This window comes from Homo sapiens, chromosome 17, assembly GCF_000001405.40.
Source record: "Homo sapiens chromosome 17, GRCh38.p14 Primary Assembly".
Taxonomy (NCBI): domain Eukaryota; kingdom Metazoa; phylum Chordata; class Mammalia; order Primates; family Hominidae; genus Homo; species Homo sapiens.
Window position 1 is genome coordinate 56,506,225 of NC_000017.11, and position 22,409 is coordinate 56,528,633.

The following is a 22,409-nucleotide window of genomic DNA, read 5'->3' on the forward strand; positions in this document are numbered from 1 at the left end:
ATGACAGGCCCCAGTGTGTGATGTTCCCCTTCCTGTGAATGTGACATTATTTGAAAAAAGGGTCATTGCAGATGAAATTAAAGATCTTGTGATGAGATCATCCTGGATTATATGGGTGGATCCTACACCCAATGAAAAGTTCCCTTATAAGAGACAGAAAAGAAGGCACAGACACAGAAGAGAGGCCATGAGAAGTCAGAAGCAGAGATAGCAGTGGCATGCTCACAAGAAATGCTGACAGCCACCAGAAGCTAGAAGAGGCAAGAGAAAGTATTCTCCCCCTAGAACCTCCAGAGGGAGTGTGGCCTTGCTGACACCTTGATTTCAAACTCTTGGCTTCCAGAGCTGTAAAAGAATAAATTTCTGTTGTTTTAAGCCACCCAGTATGTGGTAATTTGTTCCAGCAGCCACAGGAAACTAATACAAGATCTAGTATGTTTCTCTAGTAGCAGCAATGTCAAGAAGCCCTAAGAGTTTAAGTAATTTAACTCTGTGTACCACAAAAAGTGAATTAGATGAACTAAGTGCCACTCCTCAGGAAGTTTCCACAGAGAGTCATGGAAATGCTAAGGTGGATGGCAGCATAGCAAGTCTTTGTAGTGAGACAGATTTACATTTGGCTGCCTATGCTACCACTTATCAAGAATACAAATTGGAAAATTTGATAAGCCTAAGCTTCAGTATTCTGATCTGCAAAATGAGAATTGCTGTAAGTGTTAAACAAAATAAAGCATTCAGAGTTCTTAGCATCATGGCTGGCTCACAGTAAGCACTAGGTAAATATCAGATATTGTTATTACCATTGTGGATACATGCACACAGCTGAACACACTGATCAGATAAATGAAGAAGGGAGTTCAACTACAGTCAATTATGAATTCTTTGCATGGGTCCTATTTCAAGAGCAATTTCAAATCCTCAGTTATGTTCTCTTCTTCCTCACTCTTAAGGCACCTGCCCCTGCTATCATCAAAAACAATCAACAATTTTGAAATCCTATTACTTGCAGTGTCCTAATTTTCCCACTAAAGATTGGAAAAAGTACTAAGGCTTTTTTAAAGAATATCAAAGTTATTTAGCCCAGGTCTTTATACATTTCTCTCCTTTTAACCTGGAAATATATGTTTCTTCTTTCCTAACCCCTTACCTCTGAGGACAATGTGTCCTTCCATCTTTCTCACTAAGCACCAATGCCAGCACTGGTGCTCACAATTGATCACCCCTCCTTATTATATTATCAACCTCACCACTCATATATTCAACCATTCTCTCTCCAATAGTTTCTTCTTCTCCACACTCACAAATACCTTCCTTCAGCTTTGCTACCCACATGCTCTCAGTTCATCCCCTCCTTGATGTTTTGGCTTCCCCTCAGCTCAACCTGTCCCAAATTAAACCATCGATTCTACCACCCAACCCAAATCAGGACTGAAATTTAACTCCTTTAGTTTAATTTCCTATCTTCCCAGGAATCACAGTTTGATATCTACTAATAACTTTGAGGCCTATACACTCGCTTCTCCCAGTTATCTGGAACACTTGTCCCTAAAACTATCACATAGCTGGTTCCTTCTGATCATTGGGTTCTTACCCAGACTCCCCTTTGTACAGTGATGCTTCCTCCCCTGGCCACCTTATCGAAAGCATCTTCCTCCTAAGTCACTCTTTCATTAAAATCCACTTTCATTGTCTTCACAGAACTTCATACTACCCAAAATTAATCTTATGTGTTTTCTGACTTATTGTCTAACCCACTCTCTTTGAGCTATTTGAAAGCAGAGACCATGTCTGTCTAGCACAAAATAACTGTTCCATAAACATCTTTCAATGAATGACTTTCCTGGACTTCTATTTTCTTCCACACAACCACAGCTCTTGCTTAGCCCCACAGCCTGAACAAGGTAAATATTTGGAGGGAAAATGTAGCTTGGACCACAGCTTCCCAGCTGGCCTCCCTGCTATCTCTTCCTCAGCATGTTCATCTTACATCCTAGTTGCTATCCTAAATCATAGCTCTCATCTTGTCAATTCTTCAAAATTCTTTGATGACTACCCACTGGCTACAAAATAAGGTACAAACTCCTTATCTAAGCATTCAGTACCCTCCTCTGGTTCCACCCTACCTTTTTAAAAATTAAATGCTGTTTTTAAAAATATGTTTTTTGAAATAATTATAGACCCTGAAGATTACAAAGAAATGTACAGGAAATCCCATGCACCCTTCCTCCAGCCCCCCACAATTTTAACATTTTATACAACTCATATAATATCAAAACGGGACTACTTGTGCTCTTTCTTTATCCTCTTTGTTTCTAATCCTCTTATCGTTTGTATATTTACTATTAAAAGCTACCTCCAGTCATTTTTAAAAGTGGATGAAGACATAAATTAATACAGACATAGAGATGAATGAATGGAGGGAGAAAAATAAATGAAATGATGATAGAGTATTTCATCAATCCTGTCCCGATAAAATATAATCCCTCTTTCCTATATACCTACACTTATTTGCTGAACTTCTCTTATAAAACCTATGTTCTGCCACAGTCTCACAGATGCATACTTTCTTTATACATCCATTAAAACAGTAAACTCCCTAGAGACAGATATAATTTCTTATTAATTTTATATCCACTCAAGCACCAAGTACAGTGCTTCTATTAGAGCAGGATCTCAAGTAATATAGAATCTTCATTGTGAATGAATGGATGAATTAAATATCTCTGCCCCAAGAGTAATTAAATATCTCTGCCCCAACAGCTGGGGCAGCTCCTTCCTAATGGAGGTTATGTTTGAGGAAAACCTTGAACAGATCAGTGGAGCTCAAAAAGGCAGAAGAGGGAATCCTTTTATTGGTAGCCATTATTTAAAGAACATATAAATTTATCTCATCCTTTGTAGCTGCTGGATAATATTCCATATACAGATGCGCCACAATTTATTTAACCGTACTCCTATTGGTTAGGATAAATTTTGGGTTCGTGTTACCAAAGACCCAAATAAGAATGTCATAAACACAAGATACTTTCTCTCTTGTGTGAAAGAAGCTCAAAAGGAGACAATTCAAGGTTGATATGCAGACGTAATGGTCTTCAGGCAACAAGCTCTATTTTTCAGCCCCACCATCCTAGCATGTGGCTTCTATCTCCAAGGTTGCTCCATGACCTCATCCAACACATCTAGTTACAGGCAAACTGGAAGGAAAGAGAAAGAATGTAATGACCCAGCTAAGCCAGGTCCCTTTATGTAGCTTTCCAGAAGTTTCATACCATACTTCCATTTCCATTTCAGTGGCCAGAACTTAATTATATCGCCATGCTTAGCTGCAGGGGAAGCTGAAAAAAGGCGGTCTTTTACATAAGTGCGTTGGTGTCCCAATTAAAATTAAGATTTTGTAACTAAACAAACAATAATGGATACTGGATAATGGATACTGGGTAACAACAAGGAGTGAAAAGGCAAAACTGACATCTTGCCCTGCCAATTAAGAGCAAGTACGCACATCATCTCCTACAGTAAGGAAGAAAAGCATTCCTTCTAGTTCTAGTCCCTAAAATAGAAGAAACCTTGATACTGACTCCCTAACAAATCAGACTTTATCCATGAATTTTGCAATATTCCGATGATAATCACGTCTGATTTTCCACCATCAACAGACTAACTGTAACCTGGTTAGAATGTGGGCTTTTTCTTCGATTAACTGTTGTATTTTTTAATGAGCAAGGTAGTCCTTCAGAATATGGAGGTGGACGGCAGCTAGGATTTGAAACCAGGTTTACCAACTTCCACCACTGGAGTCTCCTCTTCTTCGTTCACCCTTTTAAATTCCTGCTACTTTGTCAAATGCAAAAATCATCTCTGAAATAATAGGGAATGAAGAAATGAATAACATTTAGCTTTCTAGCCTGTTTCATCCTCTCCACAGCTGCCCAGCTAATAATAAAAGCGTGTGTGGGAAATGAGGGAAGGTTCCTCTACTTCTATCTGGGCTGAACCTGTCAGAGTTCCTCTCTTTCCTTTCCCTTACGCTAAGACCAGAGCCCACTACATAATTTGTGGGGTCCTGTGCAAAATGAAAATGTGGGGCCCCTAGTTCAAAATGTGTCAGCATTTCAGGAGGTGACAGCAGGGCATTAAACGAAGCACAGGCCCCTTCTAAGTGCGGGGTCAAATGCACTGTTCCTATGCCTGTGAAGCAGGCTCTAGCTAAGACTATATTTTTCCTAACCTCAGTTTCTGGCTTCGCAGATTCACAGCCCTGCTCTGATGAAGAAGCCTGCTCAGAAGTCTTCCTCCCCACCAACAGTGACTACGACTCCAGCGATGCCCTGAGCCCCAGAGACCTGGACCTGGTCTACCTATCATCTCACGACATTGCGCAGCAGACCCTTAGCGGCCTAAGCGGCAGCGCCCCCGACGTCCTGCAAGTGCACGACGTGAAAACCCCTCTGGGGCCGGGCCAGGATCCCCAGGGCGAGGGCCCAAATCCCGATCACTCATGTGCCGAGTTTCTCCATAGCCTGACCCTCACGGGGTTCACACCCAAGAACCACGCCAAGACTGTGTCCGGTGGGCGGCCCCCGCTAGGCTTCCTGGGAAAGCGGAAGCCAGGCAAGCACCCCCACTATGGCGGCTTCAGCCGCCATCATCGCTGGTTGCGCATCCACAGCGAGACCCAGTCGCTATCGCTCTCTGAGGGCATTTATACACAGCACCTGTCCCAGGCCTGTGGTCTGGCCCAGGAGCCCAAGGAGGCCAAGCGGGCCGGCCCTGCCCTTGATGATCCCAGGGGCCTAACTCTGGCCCACGCTGCCAGCCTTCCTGAGGAGCGGAACAGCAGTCTCCAGGACGCGAGGCCTTCCGTCCGCCGCCTCTACGTGGAGCCCTACGCAGCGGCCGTGGTGGCCCAGGACGAAAAACCATGGGCAAGCTTGAGCCCGCCCTCTGGAGGCCGCATCACCCTGCCCAGCCCCACTGGCCCCGATGTGAGTCAGGAGGGCCCCACCGCCTCTCCCATGTCAGAAATACTCAGCAGCATGCTTTAGGGAGGCCCATCCCGGCTGTCCACCCCTCCATGGCTGCTACCTGCGTTTTACATCACCCTTACCCCCATCCTGCCCCACTGTGTACCCACTCATTTTCAAGCGTTTTGAATGTTATAAATACAAAGGTTACAAGTTCAAGGTCCTCTTTTTTTGGAACAGAGTGGTGGGTGGAGGCCAGAGTTGCCAGTGCCATTCCCACTTCAGCCTAGAAAGGGCATGGGGGAGTTGTGTCAACATGGAATACGACATACAGTGACTCAAACATGCCACCCTGTTGGTGGCACCTATGACTGAAGCTGGCCATCCCAAAGAGAGACCCTCTGTTCTGCAGCTGGTTCTGTAATCTGACCCCTAGTTTAGGGCTCTTTCATGAATTTGTGATTGATGAAGAGAAGTTCTATAAATGAAAATAAGATTAGCATCATTTCTCCCTCCATTCCAAACCTTAAGAAGAGTTTGAGGGAAAGACACCAGGTTGTGTCTCTAGGGCACGGGGTCAGGTGGGCTTGACCTTGGTTCCCTGTCAGCTAAACTAGGTCATTCCAAAGTGCAGAATTCTCAGGGCTCACCTTATCCAATTTATCCATCAGTACTTATCTGATTAAATAGGCCTTGACAGGCCTTTTTTTCTTCGTATAGTGCTGTGTGGAGACCACCAGAAACAAAAGTGGAGAATTCTCTTTCAGCTCTACCTTGCAAAGATAGAATAGGACAGAAAGTAGCCCTTCCTGTATACTCAGCTCCCATCCAAGCATGAAAATGATCCATAGATTTTTACAGGGGTCAAGGAGATGGCTAAGCAAAGTGAAAGCCTGAATTACAGATAAGACAGGGGAGGGAGAGAGACATGGGCAGAAATATATTTCCTTTACAATTCTAAGTTAAGCAAAGTAAGTCCATGGGGGCTGTGTCTCTGAAAATCATAGTGGATCAGCTCCAGATTCTTTGGTGATGAAATTGTCATTGAACCAGAAAGTGCCCTGCAGATACGGTCAGTCAGCAATGGGCTCCTCACAACCCCACAGGCTTATCCACTCACCCTACATCATAGATCAAGGGGCAGATTGTCCAGGGCTAGGGTGGCTGCCTTTCCCTTTCAACCTACCTCTCCTTAGGTCAAATTTGCCTCAAAATCATCTGGCCCAATTGGCATCAGGGAAAATATGCTCAGAAGCCTTTACAAGTGGTTAATTCCAAGGATGTGCTAAAAACATCTGGAAATCTTGCTTTGGTCTCATTACCTCCTATCTGAATTTCTCACAGGAATCCAAATTAGACAAATCACACTGCATATTCAGAAAAGGCACAAGTTTCCTCATCTCCTGGAGCCAAGACCCATTCACTTCACTGACATTCTAAATGATCCTTTTCTGCTTCACAGGCATTTCAGTTAAATATTGCTCTTTATGGCCCTATCCTTGTCCACAGAGTTCTACCATTCCTCCTCATGGGAGTTCATACAAAGTCCCCTGTTCACAATGTTATTCTGATCCCTTCCATTTTAAAAACATTTGATTTAAACATAAATAATTACCCTGCTGCAAAGGTACAGATTTGGCCCATGGCCTATGGTCATTAGAAAACTAAAGCCCAGAGCTCAGACTTTATTTTTTTAAGAGATTTTATACTCAATGAAACCCTCAAAGAATCTTGATCAGAATCACTACAGCTCCTTTTTCATGACTGGGAGGATTTTAAAATGCAATTTTCTTCTGTCTAAGTGAATTCTATGTGCATGGAGAGTGTTAGAACTAGACGGGCCCATAAAATTTATCTAAGTCCGTGGGTTTGCAGGTAGGGCAATTAAGACCCAGAGAGGTTAAGTAACATGCTCAAGGTCACGGAGCTGGTTTAGTCTCAGAGTTAGGGTCAGAACTAGAATTATTCCCTTTATAGCAGGCCGTCCCATTGGGAATTGGTCCACACCTAGTTACCTCTTGATTGTTATCTACAGGGAATCTCCTATTTTGTAGATCATCTACCTACTTCTGATTTCAAATTCAACCTTTACCTAACAAGTTTCCAATATTACAGAGCTGCTTGTTGCCAAGGAATACAGACTTCATGTAATACACATCTAAGTTAACTTAATTAAACAGCAAATTTGGGAAAAACATCATTTCAAATTATGCCTCTTAGTTAATAACAAGAATGGCAGAGTCATTTGCACTCAGTTTCTACTTATTTCTAATTATAAAATGGATTACTTTGTTCAATGAGTTTGTGAGATGAGATTCTAGGATTGTGAAAAACTAAGAATCCAAGGTATTTCCTGATCCTGATCATTCTGGTGGCATAGGAGGAAGTTTGTGACTGAATCAGGTGGGAGGCATTCAACAAACAGGAGAGGCAGAAACTGACCCACCCTTCTGACCCCTCATTTGGTCAGTAAGTTCTGGCATACTGGACCAAAACTGCATTAATTTTAAACCTGCTATTTTATATTGGGGACATAAGGTTACTTTTTCATCTTCTGTGAGGAAAGAAGGCATGCCCACAAAAAGAATAATGCATGTTACATTTTAATGGGCATAGTTAAATCAATTGAAAATGCATTTTCTTAGCAACATTCTTAAATAAAAGTGGGTATGTTGTAGCTTCCATAATTAGCTATTATTCAGGTAGGTTTCCCCATACCTTCACTTTGCAATATTTTGTGAGCCCAGTTTAAATTAATACATTCTTGTGAGAGACAACTGTGTTCTCTAATTCACAGTCCTTTATTCATTTGGCCGACCTTCTACTTACAGAGACTTTACAATGTCTGAGGATATTTTGTTTTATTTTATTGTTTTTGTTTTGTTTAATTTTGGATACAATGGATTTTTGTCTTTCACTCTTTTTTTAATCCAATATGAGAGCCTCTGAAGGAAACTGTCCCAGGTCTTCTTTTCCAGGGTTTTCTAACATGCTTGATCAGCTTTCATCATTTGTGAAAATCCTCAAAAATCCTTGACTGAGGTTCTCCCATATGTCTATCTCAATTCTAAGTCCCATTGAGATCCAAAGAATCAAGTGTGAAACATAGTCCTAGGCCACAAGAAGCTCACAATCTGATCTAAGAATGTAGCCATACATTCACCATACATCTTCTCAACAATCTCTTAGAAGAGGCAGGAGCCTGTCTCCTCAGCCAGGCAGACATAGTGCATGTTGGGCTACATCTTTGATTTCTTCTTGCTGTACAGACTCCTGAGGGAGTACAACCTGGAAAATGCAAGTCATGGAAGTATATGTTTGGCAACTACTTAACAAAGCTAAAACATCCTCTTAATTGGCGAGGGTGCCTGGGAGACAGTAATTAAAAACATTCACTCCAGGGAATGAGTATTTTAAGAAGTAGGTACTTAAAGATGAGAGCCATTCCCTTTAAAGAACATTCACTAATGCTCGAAGCAATAATTACACTGGAGAAATTGTTTCATTTGGTTTGAAAATTGAAGCAAGTTAGTAATAATATTTCGCCAGTCCTCTTTCCTGAAGGATCCCAAAGCACTTTATGAAAAGCAATGACTGAAGCCTTGTTGTACTCCCCTAAAGAAACCTTGTCCAGGAGCCACCTGGCAAACACCTACTGTGTCCTTGCCAGGAGATCATGCCAGAGAAGTGGAAAAGAGGACTGGACCCTCGTTCATTGTTATCCTGCCACACAAATGTGCGCCCTGGTGAGTTTGGAGCTCTTCCCTTGAAGATAACTCTGTTAGACGAGGAGGCATCCCAGAAAATACCTGCTTGGCCTCCTCTGGTTCTTCATCCTGCAACCAAGATGTACTTACCTTCTCTTGGAGAACTCACTTAACAGCTTAAGTGAGTTCTCCAAGAGAAGGTATGTCTGCAACGCATTTAAGTTGCCTAGTTATGTCAACAAGACACAGAATTCACTGGCTTCTGAAAATGTACACATGTTAGGAAGGTGATGACATTTTTCTACAGCTCTCTCAACTTCGTATGTAGCAGAGCTACAGCAAAGAGTGTGTATTTCTTGGTATATGTGCTTATTAAGCTATCACATACCAATTAGAGAAGGTAGCTGTAGATTAACAAAGGAACACTCTCTGAGAATTTAAACTGTTGCATGGTCACTTTACAAAGTCTAAATATTTTTCCAGATGATTTAATGAAGCAAACCTGGACTTTTTTCTTCAAGGTCGTATCTTCAAGGAAATTTTTAAAATAGCTATTTGGAAAGCAATGGTATCTCTTCATAGGTAATAGGGTGAGCAAGGAAAAAAACTGTTTTCTTTGCTGGTCACCTCTCATAAGATGTTCAAACACATGGCTTATGACTGTTAAGCTAAACTTCAATGCGGCCTTACAAACAACAAGGGTAGTGTATTTGAAACCATGTTGTACCACTTGGAAACTTATTCTAAGATCTTAATTCAGACTTTTTCTGAGGTGTTGAACTTTGCCATTAGCAAAAAGTATTTTTAGAAAAATCCATTGACTGTTTATGAAGCACTGATTTTGCCATATTTCGGGTCTCTGCTTTTTCCACTGCATCTGCACACAGTAGTTATATTTGTTTTTTCAATTATTTCTTCTATTTCCACTAATAATGACTTTGTAAAACAGTTATTCAAAAGGATGGTTGGCTTTGTTTAACAATTGGATAGGTGGGCTGTGAAAAATATTCTATTGTGATAAAGGAAGTAGATTTGTTGTTGTTTTAAATATTATCATAGGGTCTTTCTCCTACAGATTTTTTTTTATTTTAGCAAAAGCCAATGTTTAACTTAGTGGCAAAGGTTACGAAGCTATTAGTTAAGGCTCTTTGCTCCTCTTCCTGCAGTCCATGCCATGAAAGTCTGAATATACTTTCACAGTAATCACCCTCCAGTGACTGATTTTCAAAAGCCAAGTGTGGCAAATTATAGTAAGTCACTCTGAGTCGCTGTATTGCCTCTTGCCTTGTGAAAATCAGATGTTTGGGGGTATCCATGTATGTGACCACAAGCATCAGTTTGATGTTTGTGATTTTTAAAAAAGTGTGTGTGTGTGTGTGTGTGTGTGCGTGTGTGGTGGTGTCAGAGAGATGTTTCATAGAAAAAGTAATTTAAGTGACATTCTCATTTGGCAGTATTTAATTGCTTCCTTCCTAATGTGTACATAGCAATCTGGCTGATTATTGGTTGTTACTTGTTCAGAATTTATTGTGTCTTATTGCTATGTATGCAACTGAGTGTATGTTAAAGTTTAGACTTCAGTACGCTATCTGCACAATTTTGTGTGCTTTAAACCTCTGTAAACATGCAGATGAATCATGTATGGTGTGTTAAATGTGACTTCCACTCTTGAAACAATAATTTTTTTGTATGTACATTTGAAAACTATTTGAACAATCTAAATGTGTACTGTAAATGTCCAGTACCCTCAATCAAAAACAGCACTGGTAAAATGTATGCCTCTTCAACCTACCAATTTATAAGAGGTCAGGGATAAATGAGAATTAAGTTAATTTTTCTAATGGCAAGTATTTTTGGTAATTTCTTACCTGCCTAAGTGTATTTTCAAGAAAAATTGTCGACAGAAGAAATCTAAGCTATCAGAGGGAATGACTTTATTTCATAAGCATTAATTATACTTTATGTCTTACCTAATATTGTTGATATCTAAGTCAAGCATGAAGTCAAAAAATATTTTTTATTCTTCATTAGATTTTTTGCTGTTTAAGGGACAGTTTCCAAGCCCATTTGTCTTAAGTGTGGAAAAATGTTGATTCAATAATAAACAAATAGAATTCTTAATACTTGGCTTACTTAATGCTTTTTCATGTCATGAAAAAGACACAAATTTTTCATCCTGAGCTTTTAAAATCTCCTCACTGAAACTTTGGAAGAATTATCATTTGTGGCATTGCTTTGGCAATTATCAGCAAAGTCTGACCAGCTGGCTCTTGATTAATCTGTACCATTCAAGTTATTTCTCTTTCATAATTGGTTATTGCCAAGAATTGAAAATACAGCAGCAGGTTGCCACAGCAAATACTCTCACCAAGTTGCACCCAGGAGCTTGGCCATGATAATCTCGCGTCTTCCTCCACTGCATGCACGTTTAAATGTCTTTGGTGCATTGCTGCATGCGCTATCCCATCTCAATTTCTCCATCCCTTCTGTTTCCACACCCATGAAGCTCCTTCTACCCCCACTCCCGCTGGCTGAGATCTGAGATTTCTTCTGTGTTTGAGAACACTACAAAGAGATTGCTTCCACCCTAGGAACCTGTACAAAGTTTCCCCTGAATTCCCAAGGGTGGGAAATGTGCTGCTTTGGACCACATTTGTCTTATGCTGTTTTACAGAATTCTTTTACACACAGACGAATTCAACTCTTTATTGGCATGTTTGTGGTCGGCTTTCTTGACAGTCTCAGAGGGCTGTTTTGTTGTCCTGGCCAAATATGCTGTTTTCCCTCTGTAAATTGTCATCTTTCTAAGCAAACCATTACTTTATTTTCCTAATTCTTTCTCTAAATAAAAGTTTACCTTCTTTTTCAAACCAAACAGATGACATTCTTCTCTAGTATCCCCTGTCTTCTATGAGCACTCTTGGGGTGGTATTGGAGTAGGGACAGAATGAGGTAAAGAGTAAGAGGAGCCTTTTCAAATGTAACCTGCTAAGTAAGAAGTATGCCTTCAGTGAATGCCTAACCCTTTCGATAAGTTATGCCAAGCAATATGCAGTATTTCCGTTTGCCAACAAGAAATCACTCCTTCTTCTCTATAATAAAAACAAATCATTTTAGGGAAGTAAGCAAGTTTAAACCAACAGTTTCTTATCAATTTAAAGTGACTCCTAGACAGGAGAAAAACATTCATAAGAAAATTATCTTACCTGATATTATCATAATATCAAGCAAGTTAGATCTTTGCAATGATTTTTTGACTATGCAAATGCATTTCCTCTTCAGGTAGCATGTGGCATTCCCGTCTTTACATGATGCTCCTTCTAGTGGCCTGTCCTGTCAAACGTTGCATTAAGATATTTTGCCAAAGAAAATACTAGTGTTAGATACTGACTACAGGAATTCAGGTACCAGTTCCATACTAGACTAGATCCGATGCTCTAAGAGAAAAACAACTGGCTGCTTTGTTACCCGTCACCCCACCCCAGCACATTTTATAGCACCTGACATAAATATCTGTTAAATGGGTAATAAACCGATGACCACCAGAAATTGTAGAGCGCGCACTTAAAATCAGGTTAAATCCCATACCTTGCTTAATTTCTCCATAAAGAATGGACATTAAGACTTTTTCACATGCCTACCAGCCTGCAACTCTCTAAAGTGGCTCAGATGAAGCTCAATTTGTCCCCTCAGGGTACCTTGAAAGTATTTCTCTATGATTTCCTGAAAACTTGCACCACTTACCCCACACATCACCTCCAGAGAACCTTGATTGGGTGGGAATGTACCGTCCAATCTGGAGCTGGCCCACCTGATGGAAGCCAAGGGTCTGAGGAGAAACCTGCCCTTTCTTGTGGTGCAAGATGCACCTCCAGATGGCCAGCAGTTTTCAGAGTGTCATGATATCTTGCCCAGTGATTGGGTACCACTGAATTGACATGCAGATCACTCAGCTCAGCCACACCCACTGAATACCCAGAAAACCTGCAAAAGTCTCGTCCTCGTGCCCAGTATGGCTGCTTTTGCACACACCATTTTCCTCATCCAGCTTTAATAACTGCAATTTTCTATATGTTTAGAAAACACTTTTCACAAGCACCATCCTTTCTGAGCCTAACAAATAGCCCTGTGAGATTATCAGGACAAGAACGTATATCTCTGCTTTACAAATAAAAAGAGTGAGGCTCAGTAGAGTGAAAACTAGGGCCCAGGACTCCTCACTTTCCAGAGTGCCACGTGCCATTGAGTTAGGTCCTTTGAGAAAAAAAAAAAAAAAAAAAAATTAAAAAGGCCACTGGAAGCTGTCTCTGTGGAAGACACCCTGAACAGCCAGACATGCGAGCGACATTTACACAGACACAGATAACGATGGCAAATGAAGCCAAACAAGACAACAAAGCACACAAACCCTTTCCCCCAAGGCAAAGTCAGGCACTCTGTGACTGCAATCAAGACACTTTTTCTTGCAGTCACAGAGGGCCTGACTCTGAGCTAGAACCTGGGCCTCATGGGAAAGAGTTGTGTGTTTTTCCTCTCTGAACTTACAGATAAAGGCGTTTATAAAATGTGTAAGCTCTATTTCAGCTTTGAAATTCCATGAATTTACACTCACATTGATTACCTATCAGAGATAAGCAGGGATTCTCAGAATGTTTCTATTTTCGGGATGCGTTTTGTGTTATTGTTGTTTTTTGGGGGTGCATAGGTTGTGGGAGCTACGTAGATGACATTGAATCTATTATAGAGAAAGAAACTGTGGGAAGTCCATGCTCAGTGTCCCCAGTATTCCCCTGCCCTGCAAGAAATCTTTCATCGCAGAAAGATTTAGATCAGGCTTCTGCCTCACCTGACCCCCGTCTCTCTCAGAAAACAATTTCACCTATTTCAGTTCCCCTCTCCTTGCTGTCCAAGTCACTGGGATCACAGTGGTTATGGTCTGGAATATCCCTTGGACCTTCCCCAGCATCTAATCTGACACCAGCACCGCCCACCAGCTGTTCTCTTAGATTTTGCCTGATCGCTGCTGTAAGATCACTTCCCTGGAGTGTCCCAGAAAGGGTCAAGGCATTGCACAACTCCAGGGGGCACTATTATTAAGTGTGGAATGTGCTCTATTAGCCACTTCCCAGAACCCAGGCATGAAGCAAGCTGGCCCTTTGCCAGACAGCAAGCCTGAATTGGGCATCTCCTTTGGGGTCAAGGGGAAGATGAGAGCCTGGTATAGAACAAGGCACCGGGCCCCACTTTATGAAGGATGTTTATCAGCCCACAGTGGGTCTGTTTAGCAGCTCAGTGTTGGACACACATCTGACTCTTCCAAGTTTGGGCCAACTTGAGCACCAGCTTGGACTTTGCTTGGGCCATTTTGGCTTGGCTAGATCCAAGTGTCAGGCATTGTTCTCCCTCTGCCCTCAGCAGAGTCTGTGAAGTCAGGACATCATCATTCTCTGACAAACATTCAGTACATTTCCCTGGGTCCCAGGAGGCCTGATATTGAAATGTTTTCCTCTCCATAGTTATATTTTCCTTGGTTGAAAGAGTTTTGTTTTGGAAGTTGCTACCCTGTCGAGGTAATGAGTCAGTTTGGGAGGCCGGTGCAGAGGGGAAAATGCACATCATTGGCAGAGGCCAGAAGGATGGGGGTGAGGGAAGATGGGAGATTCCCAGTGGGGGAGAAAGACCACACCCTCTTCCCCCTTCCACCCTTTTAGGAAGAACATAGCCCCTCCTTACCAGCTGAGGGCTTCCTCACGGGGACCAGGAGCCAGGCCCAACTGCTGCCTTAGGACTTGATCCTGGGAGAAATAGGCAAGCAGAAAAGGAGCTAACATTTATGGGTCATCTTTTGAGTACCATTTAATCTTCTACCTTATACTTTTTGTGAAAAGCAACAGCATTATCATCCACATTTTACAGACTGAGAAACTGAGGCTCAAAGGAAGCAAAACTGCATGCCCAGCATCACACAACCAGCAACTGGCAGAGCCAAGCCTGGAATTCAAGTTTAATATAGGAGTCCAATGCCCATTCTACTACGTGGTCTCTCTGCAGGATTCAGGCCTACGCAGAAAAGCAGACCCAAGAAACTTGGGGATAAGAAGACCCCGTTGAGGGACAGCTGAAATTATCTGACTCCTGGCAGGGAAAGCACTGTTGGCAGAGGGAGAAGAGGAGGTTTATGGACTTAGGCCACCCTTTTTCTTTGCCTCTAATTGCTCCTCTCCTCAACTTTTCCATCCATACATTTTCTTCACATGGAGAGAAAAGTCATAGAGATACAAAAAACACACGTAAACGCACAAACACACGCAGATCTCTCACTCACACACAACACAAGTACGCACGTCCATACAAGCACAGAGGCACACACATCTGGAGGTAAATCTCAGGATTCAAGGGTTGGCCTCATGCCAGCCCTGAGCCCCGAGTAGCCCACTGAGGAGCCCTGGTCTGCCTCACTTTGGGAGGTCAAATCAATGAAAGAGCCCTGGTAGTTGAAAAAAGAGAAAGGGAGAAAGAAAGAACACCAGCACCTCTCATGATGGGAGGTCAGAGCGAATGAAACCAGGAGAAGGGGGTGGGGGGCAGGGTGAGAGCAGGGGGGTGGGGAGCCTGGGGCTGGCAGCTGAATTCCTACCCTGGCCCAGCTCCAAAAGATTAAAATAGAGCTCTTAGAGTGTCCCCTCCACAGACCAGCCTGCCAGGGGCCAGACAATACGTGGGTTTGTGCTCCAGCACAGGCCTCCAGAGAGGTGATGTTTTTACCCGGACGGCGAAAGGCACAGAGGCAGGTCTAAGCCATTCCAAGCCTCCTTCGGCTGGCAGTCCCAGAACAGGCCACAGCACAGGGAGAGCTGCCGGCTGCTAGGGCGCACACAGATTTACCCTTTTCTCTTCTCACCCTGGGGCAGGCCACTGGACTCCTACTTCTTCATTTTATCTACCCTGAAACACCCAACTGGCAGGGCTATGTGGGACAAGGTCTTAGCAGATTCCTTATACTCTAATTGCGAAAGAAAAAAAAAAAAGCATGCCTGTAAACAGCCAGCCCTACCCATGAGGGATGGACAAGGCGTCCCTCGGGATTATCTGAAATACTCAGATGAGTACAAACACTTCATTTTCTCAACCAAGGAACACGGCTTCCCCAGAAGGAAGCCCTGCTGGCCACTTGAGGTTACATCTTGGAATTCTTGAGGGTTTCAGGTGGCTAGGTAGGTCTCAAGTCCAACATCTCTGACCAGTATATCAGCTAAACACACAGGCTCTGGAGTTTGCCAGACGGGGGTTCTACTCCTGACTCTGTCCCTTAAGAGCATTTTGAACATGGGCAGGTTACTTAACCTTTCTGGGACTTAGGTTCTTTGTCTCTGACAGCACCTACTTATGGTCTTAAGGGCTAAATGATCAAAATGTATGGAAAGTGATCAAACCAATGCCTGGTGTGTCACTGGCAAATGTTAGCCAGAAAGAAAGATTGTTCCATCCTGCCAGGTCCCTTATAAAGGGGGAGAAAATAAAATTTATCAATCAGACTTTTGATAGTGAGAATGGGTGCTACCTGGGCAGAATCCTGGGACACTGGCTTACCAGGGACTACCTGGGAAAACTGGGACATAGGATCCCCTTCTTTTATAGCCTTTCAAAAAGTTCCTATTTAACACTCCATCAAGGTAATCTCTTCTAAAATGGCCCTAAAGTTTACTCTATTGCATAAAGCCCATTAAAAGCCACAGTCTTTTATAGTATGCCATATCTATATATAAAATTCTTATTTAACATATAATCATATGTTATAATATAATATGGTAAATGATATTATGAATACAGGACTTAAAATTGAGAAAATTCTGTCATCTTAATTTTTTCTGTTAATTGGAAAAAAATAGCTGTTATTCCATTTTAATGGAAAAGCCCCTTCTTTCATCTCACAGAACATTAATATTCTACAAAAGCAAAATTAAAGAATCAAGAATAGTCCCTAGGGAAGTGAGAGATGGAGGACAACTCTCATGATCATGACATATTTTCTTTAAACAGTTTTAATTATTCACGTATGAAGATCAAGACATAAGATGCCCAACTGTCCAATGTGCCTAGCATTGAGGACATTGGACTTTCAGTTTTAAAACCAGAATGGTCCTGGGCACACCAAGGAACTGGTTGCCTCAATGAAAGAAGAAAACACCTGAAAAGTATACAAGGATTCCTTAGCACGAAACCAGCAAACAGCCTCAATCTATCAGCAATCATCTTTAGACCCATTACCAAAACCAGACAGCTCCCCAAAAGAAAGTAATCCTGGTCAGCCAGGTGATTTAAGAACTTTCAAATGCGGAAAATGCTTGAACAGCATTTTGTGTGTGACTGTTTTGAAATACACTCTTACTCTTAAGCCTCTGGTTCCTTCCACTCAACCTGGCCATCCCCTCTGTGGTCCCTGGATGCCTCTGGAATGTGCCTTCCTGGGTCTCTGGAAGACCCCTCCAACATAAGGTCTTGGTGACCTTTTTCTAATTTTATGTTTTTGTTTGTCTGTTTGCTTGCTGGCTGGCTTGTTTAAAAAGAATAGCACCTTCCTCTGGAGTGTTTTGCTAGCATTAAGTAAATTTAAAACACATGGGAAAGGCCGTATGGTTTACAATGTAATCTTGCTCTTCATTCTCACTACGTATAAGGTGGGCAGTGTCATTGTGCCCATTTTTTTTAATGAAGATACCAACTCTAAGAGAATATAGCCAGTAGGAATAAAAAAAAACAGAAAATTCAGATGCAGGTCTTCTGACTTTAAATCCTATACCATGCCTCAATATTAAAACCCGTTTATTTTATTTAACATGGAGTGATATTTAGATATGGTTAGTCCTTGCATTTCAGCTGAGTCATTTAAAACACACACAAACACACACATATACACACACTCACCAACACATATAGACCAATCTCAAAACTGCATCCAAATAAACTAACCCACCTCACTCCCCGACCCAAACAGTGAACAGATGCATTTTCCTGGATTTTACTTCAGACAAATAGTCACTTTGAAAAGTAAAACGCTGCATATACACCATGTAATACTATGCAGCCATAAAAAATGATGAGTTCGTGTCCTTTGTAGGGACATGGATGAAGCTGGAAACCATCATTCTCAGCAAACTATCACAAGGACAAAAAACCAAACATCGCATGTTCTCACTCATAGGTGGGAATTGAACAATGAGAACACTTGGACATAGGAAGGGGAACATCACACACTGGGGCCTGTTGTGGGGTGGTGGAGAAGGGAGGGATAGCATTAGGAGAGATACCTAATGTAAATGACGAGTTAATGGGTGCAGCACACCAATATAGCACATGTATACATATGTAACAAACCTGCGCGTTGTGCACATGTACCCTAGAACTTAAAGTATAATAATAATAATAATAATAGAAAAAGAAAATGCTGCATAACAAAATAAAATAATGACTTAGCAAATTAAAAGAGGAGGGAGAGGGCGGGCGCGGTAGCTTATGCCTGTAATCCCAGCACTTTGGGAGGCCAAGGCAGGCGGATCACGAGGTCAGGAGATCAAGACCATCCTGGCTAACATGGTGAAACTCTGTCTCTACTAAACATACAAAAAATTAGCCTTGCGTGTTGGTGGGCACCTGTAGTCCCAGCTACTTGGGAGGCTGAGGCAGGAGAATGGCGTGAACCCAGGAGGTGGAGCTTGCAGTGAGCCGAGATCCCACCACTGCACTCCAGCCTGGGTGACAGAATGAGACTCCATCTCAAAAAAAAACAAAAAAGAGAAGAGAGAGAAGACAGTACGTTGTTTATCACACCATTGACTAGCATAAAAGAATGTAAAACTTGCTACCAGGTAAAACCAATACATTAGGAAATGTATCCAATAGAGAGAAAATCAGTAGTAGATAAAGAAATTTGTACAACATGCTTATTGCAAAGTTGCTGGGCGTGACACAACTACCTGGAGACAACCTGAGTGCCCACAAATAGCGAAACAATTGGACAAATTCTGCTGCATCTTTAGTATTGTTATGAAGAACGGGTAAAAGCCATTTACATTGACATAGAAAGATCTCTATGATGGGTTGGAAGAAGGTAAGGAAGGAAAGTGGGAGAATAAAATGTATTTTTGTAATCCAGCCTGCTATAAGCATTGTTTTAAGTTCTATTATATGCATATGTATGTTTATATATATATATATATATATATGTGTGTGTGTGTGTGTGTGTGTATGTGTGTGTATATATATAAACATACACAGAAATAAATATGAAAAGAAATATAAGTTGTTAACTTCAGAGTTTGAGCTAGGAAAAGGAAGGGAGAAATTAGTAACATTTTTATATGATTCTGAATTATTTGACTTTTTATTTTTAAAAGCATATATTATTTCTGTAATTTAAAACAATAATAAAGTAAGTCAAAAAGAAAATAAACTAAGCCCAGAATTTTGCCATGTCTAATTTGAACAAAGAAAACTCAGATTCCTCCCTTACATCTTTGGGTTCATCCAAATGAACTCTCTTAATTGGCCCCAGACACTGACATCTGTGTGAGACTCATCCCCTCTTTACTCTCTATATTGGTTTCTAAAATGGCCACTTCTGCTGGATGTTAAGATTTTGGTTGTGAACTATCCTCCCACTCCCACTTTTCCCTCCACACACTCACCCCCAAAAAGACTTTGGTTCCTGCTAAAAAGGCCAAGAATAAATCCTCTCCACCCCAATTATTCTACCAATACATCATTTTCCCTACTCTTTTCTCCCTAACCTCCAGATGTTGGACTCTGGAAATGGATAACTGTGGGAGGCAGTGGAATCTCCCTCTCCAAAGGACTTTACTGAGGGAGCGAGTCACATCTGTTGAGGATGGCTTGGATTTAAGTGCAGTTAGAACAAGTTAGTTATGGGTGGTTTGTCATTTTTGGAGTGCTGATTGCATACAGAGCCCAGTGACAGAGAGGGGCAGGAAATCAGGAGCCCTGGTGGCAGAGCAGACCTGCACAGAAGAAATAAATTGGTTGCCTGATGAAGCAATATTTGATCAATGACTTGTATGGACAACTCCTAGATTACACTTTTAGACCATATAAATCTGAGAGATAGCTTATGCTAGATGATAGACTATTATTCAAAATGGTCTTGACCAGCAGATTTCATTTAATAGAGATTAAAGATAATTTCTGTATTTGGTTAATCTAAGAACAAGATGAGAGAATTTTAGCTGGGCAAAGGATTGGGGGGATAAAAAGAATTAATTCAGGTGTTTTAGTTAACAAGCTCGAATTAATCACAGTATAAAAAGCTGCTTTTTAAAAAAGTCCACTAGTGCAATCTCTAGATATTTTAACAGAAATAGATCCATTCATATAGTCATTCTTTTGTTCATTCTTTCAATAGCAAACATTAACTGAATACCTATTACATGCCTGGCACTGTGCTTAGAATGTGTTAATGAGCTCTAAGAGTTACATAGTACTCTTTATTCATAGTTTGAGTCTTATGTTCAATCCGGGATACCATGTTTTATCTTCATTGTCACACTATACAAGGATAATAGATATATACCAAGTCAGGCACAGAATAGTCAAAGAAATTGAAGCTGTCTAGCCAGAGGTGTTAAGGTATGATAACTGCAGTGAAATATCTGAAGGATTACTGTGACAATTGTTAAGTAGATTTACTTTATGTAGCATCATTTAGGAGAATTGACCGTGATAGTTTAAAAACATGTTTAGAAATTCTGTGATACCCTTCAAAAGATGGAGCCTAATTCCCCTTCCCTTGAATGCGGGTTAGACTTAGTGACACGCTTCTATTGACTAAAAATGTGGCAGAAATGATTATGTGTGACTTCCAAGACTAGGTCATAGAAGGCATCGTGGATTCCTCCATGCTCTTTCTCTGGGGGAAGCCAGCTGCCATGTCCTAGGGATACTCAAGCAGCCCTATGGAGAGGCTCACCTGGTAAGGAACTGAGGTCTCCTGCCAACAGCCATATGAGCAAACCATTTTGGAAGCAATTGTCCAGCTTCCAGTCAAGCCTTGTTTGACAACAGTCTTAACCAACAGGTTGACTTCAACATCATGAGCTATTCTTATCCAAAACCGACCAGCTAAGCTGCTCCTGAATTCCTGAACCACAGAAACTGTGTGAGATAATAAATGTTTGTTGTTTTTAAGCTGCTAAATTTGTAGGTTAATTTGTTATTCAGCGATAGATAAGCAATACAGTGACCAAAAGATTCATCTGAGAAGGAAACCAATTTAACCTTAACAGAAAAAATAATTGCAAATGAAAACTTTTGTCTAAGAGTGGAATGGTACCACTCACAGCTGAAGCAGTGAGATCCCTATGTTCAACCAGAAGCAGGACCACCAATTCTCAGGATACTGTGAAGGTGATATCTACACTGGGTGCATGAGCATGAGCTTAGAACCCAAATTCTTTATTTTTCATCTCATTCTTCATATTCCAACCAGCCACCATTGATTTCCTAACCTTCAATCTTCTCTCTGGTTAAGAAAGTAAGGTCACCTTCATAGCAATGCAAAGCAACCCTGGCATGATTTTCCTCTGGATCTTATTTGGGGCCTGACTGGCTTGCTCCCACCATGGAGGAGCCATTGCTTTGTTTTTGCAATGGCACCTCCACCATGATTTAGAGACCTACCAAGTTGAAATTGGATTTAAGACCTTATTGGCCCTGGATTGCACCAAGAGCACAGTAATCTCTTCAAAGCCCAAGCTGCAGCAGTCAGCATTCCCCCTGCTGCTATTGATAATTTGTACCATATTGACTGGGTTACTTATCATTTGCAAACAGGATCCCATGGTGACTGGATGTCAAATACATGGAAATAACTCTTCATCAACCTGGAGTCTGGGGCCCACCCTCCACCCACCCTTTGGCCACCAGAATGCCGGGCAGCCCAGGCTGTCCTTACCACCCACATACCCAGCTCATTGCCTTGCTAAAGGTAAAGACCTCAGCCTCATCATGCATGCAGCTCCTGGGGGGAGGGAGGGATGGAGGGAACTGATGGGGACTGGGGAATCCCAAAGAGTAAACCCAAGGCAGGTGAAACATGCCCAGGACCTGAAGGATGCAATTAAGCCCAATTCACCGGGATCCAGAGTTTTTCTACCAAATTCCTGAGGAAACCAAATTGCATAATGTGTGACTTATTCAGAAACACACATCCCCGTGTTGTTGGCCAAGGCAGAGGCAATGTGGTGGGGGTCTTAGGCAAGGGGTGCAGGTGCACAGAAATGAAAACAACAGACTAAAACAACAAGCTCCCTGGTCTATAAAGAACAGCCCCGTGTTTTGCCGGATTCCTCAGTCAGAGCGAGCATGCATATATATGTGGGTTCTTGTGTGCATGTGCAGCTGGGACTGGGGGTGGGGAGGGTGGGGCCTTCCAGGGAGGAAGCAAGAACATGTCTACACATTTTAAGTGGCAATTGCAAAGGAAACAATCAGAGGTGCTCTCACATACATTGGGCACTATTTACTTTTTGCCGGCTCCTATAACTTCTGAATCTCCCCCTTCTCGTTTCATAAACATTTTGTGTATAGTTTTAGGTGGCAATATTTTTGCTCATTTGGGAAGACTGTGCCTTTTTGGAGTTGAATCAGGCTAACTTGTGCCTTCCATGTTTCTTCAGGAGTGGGAAACAGGAGCAGTGACAAATGCTAAAATGTGGGATGGGGCAGA

The 22,409-nt window shown here is 41.8% G+C and overlaps 1 protein-coding gene across 15 annotated transcripts in view; it reads left to right on the top strand.

Moving 5' to 3' along the window:
* ANKFN1 (ankyrin repeat and fibronectin type III domain containing 1) overlaps window positions 1–10,792 on the top strand; it is a 470,940-nt gene extending 460,148 nt beyond the window's left edge. For all 15 annotated transcript variants that reach the window (XM_047435502.1, XM_017024263.2, XM_011524430.3 and 12 more), the window contains one exon: window positions 4,249–10,792. In XM_047435502.1, the coding sequence (XP_047291458.1) occupies window positions 4,249–5,045 (797 nt within the window). In that variant the 3' untranslated portion in view covers window positions 5,046–10,792. The remainder of the gene's footprint in view (window positions 1–4,248) is intronic.
* The last annotated feature ends 11,617 nt before the right edge of the window (window positions 10,793–22,409 follow it).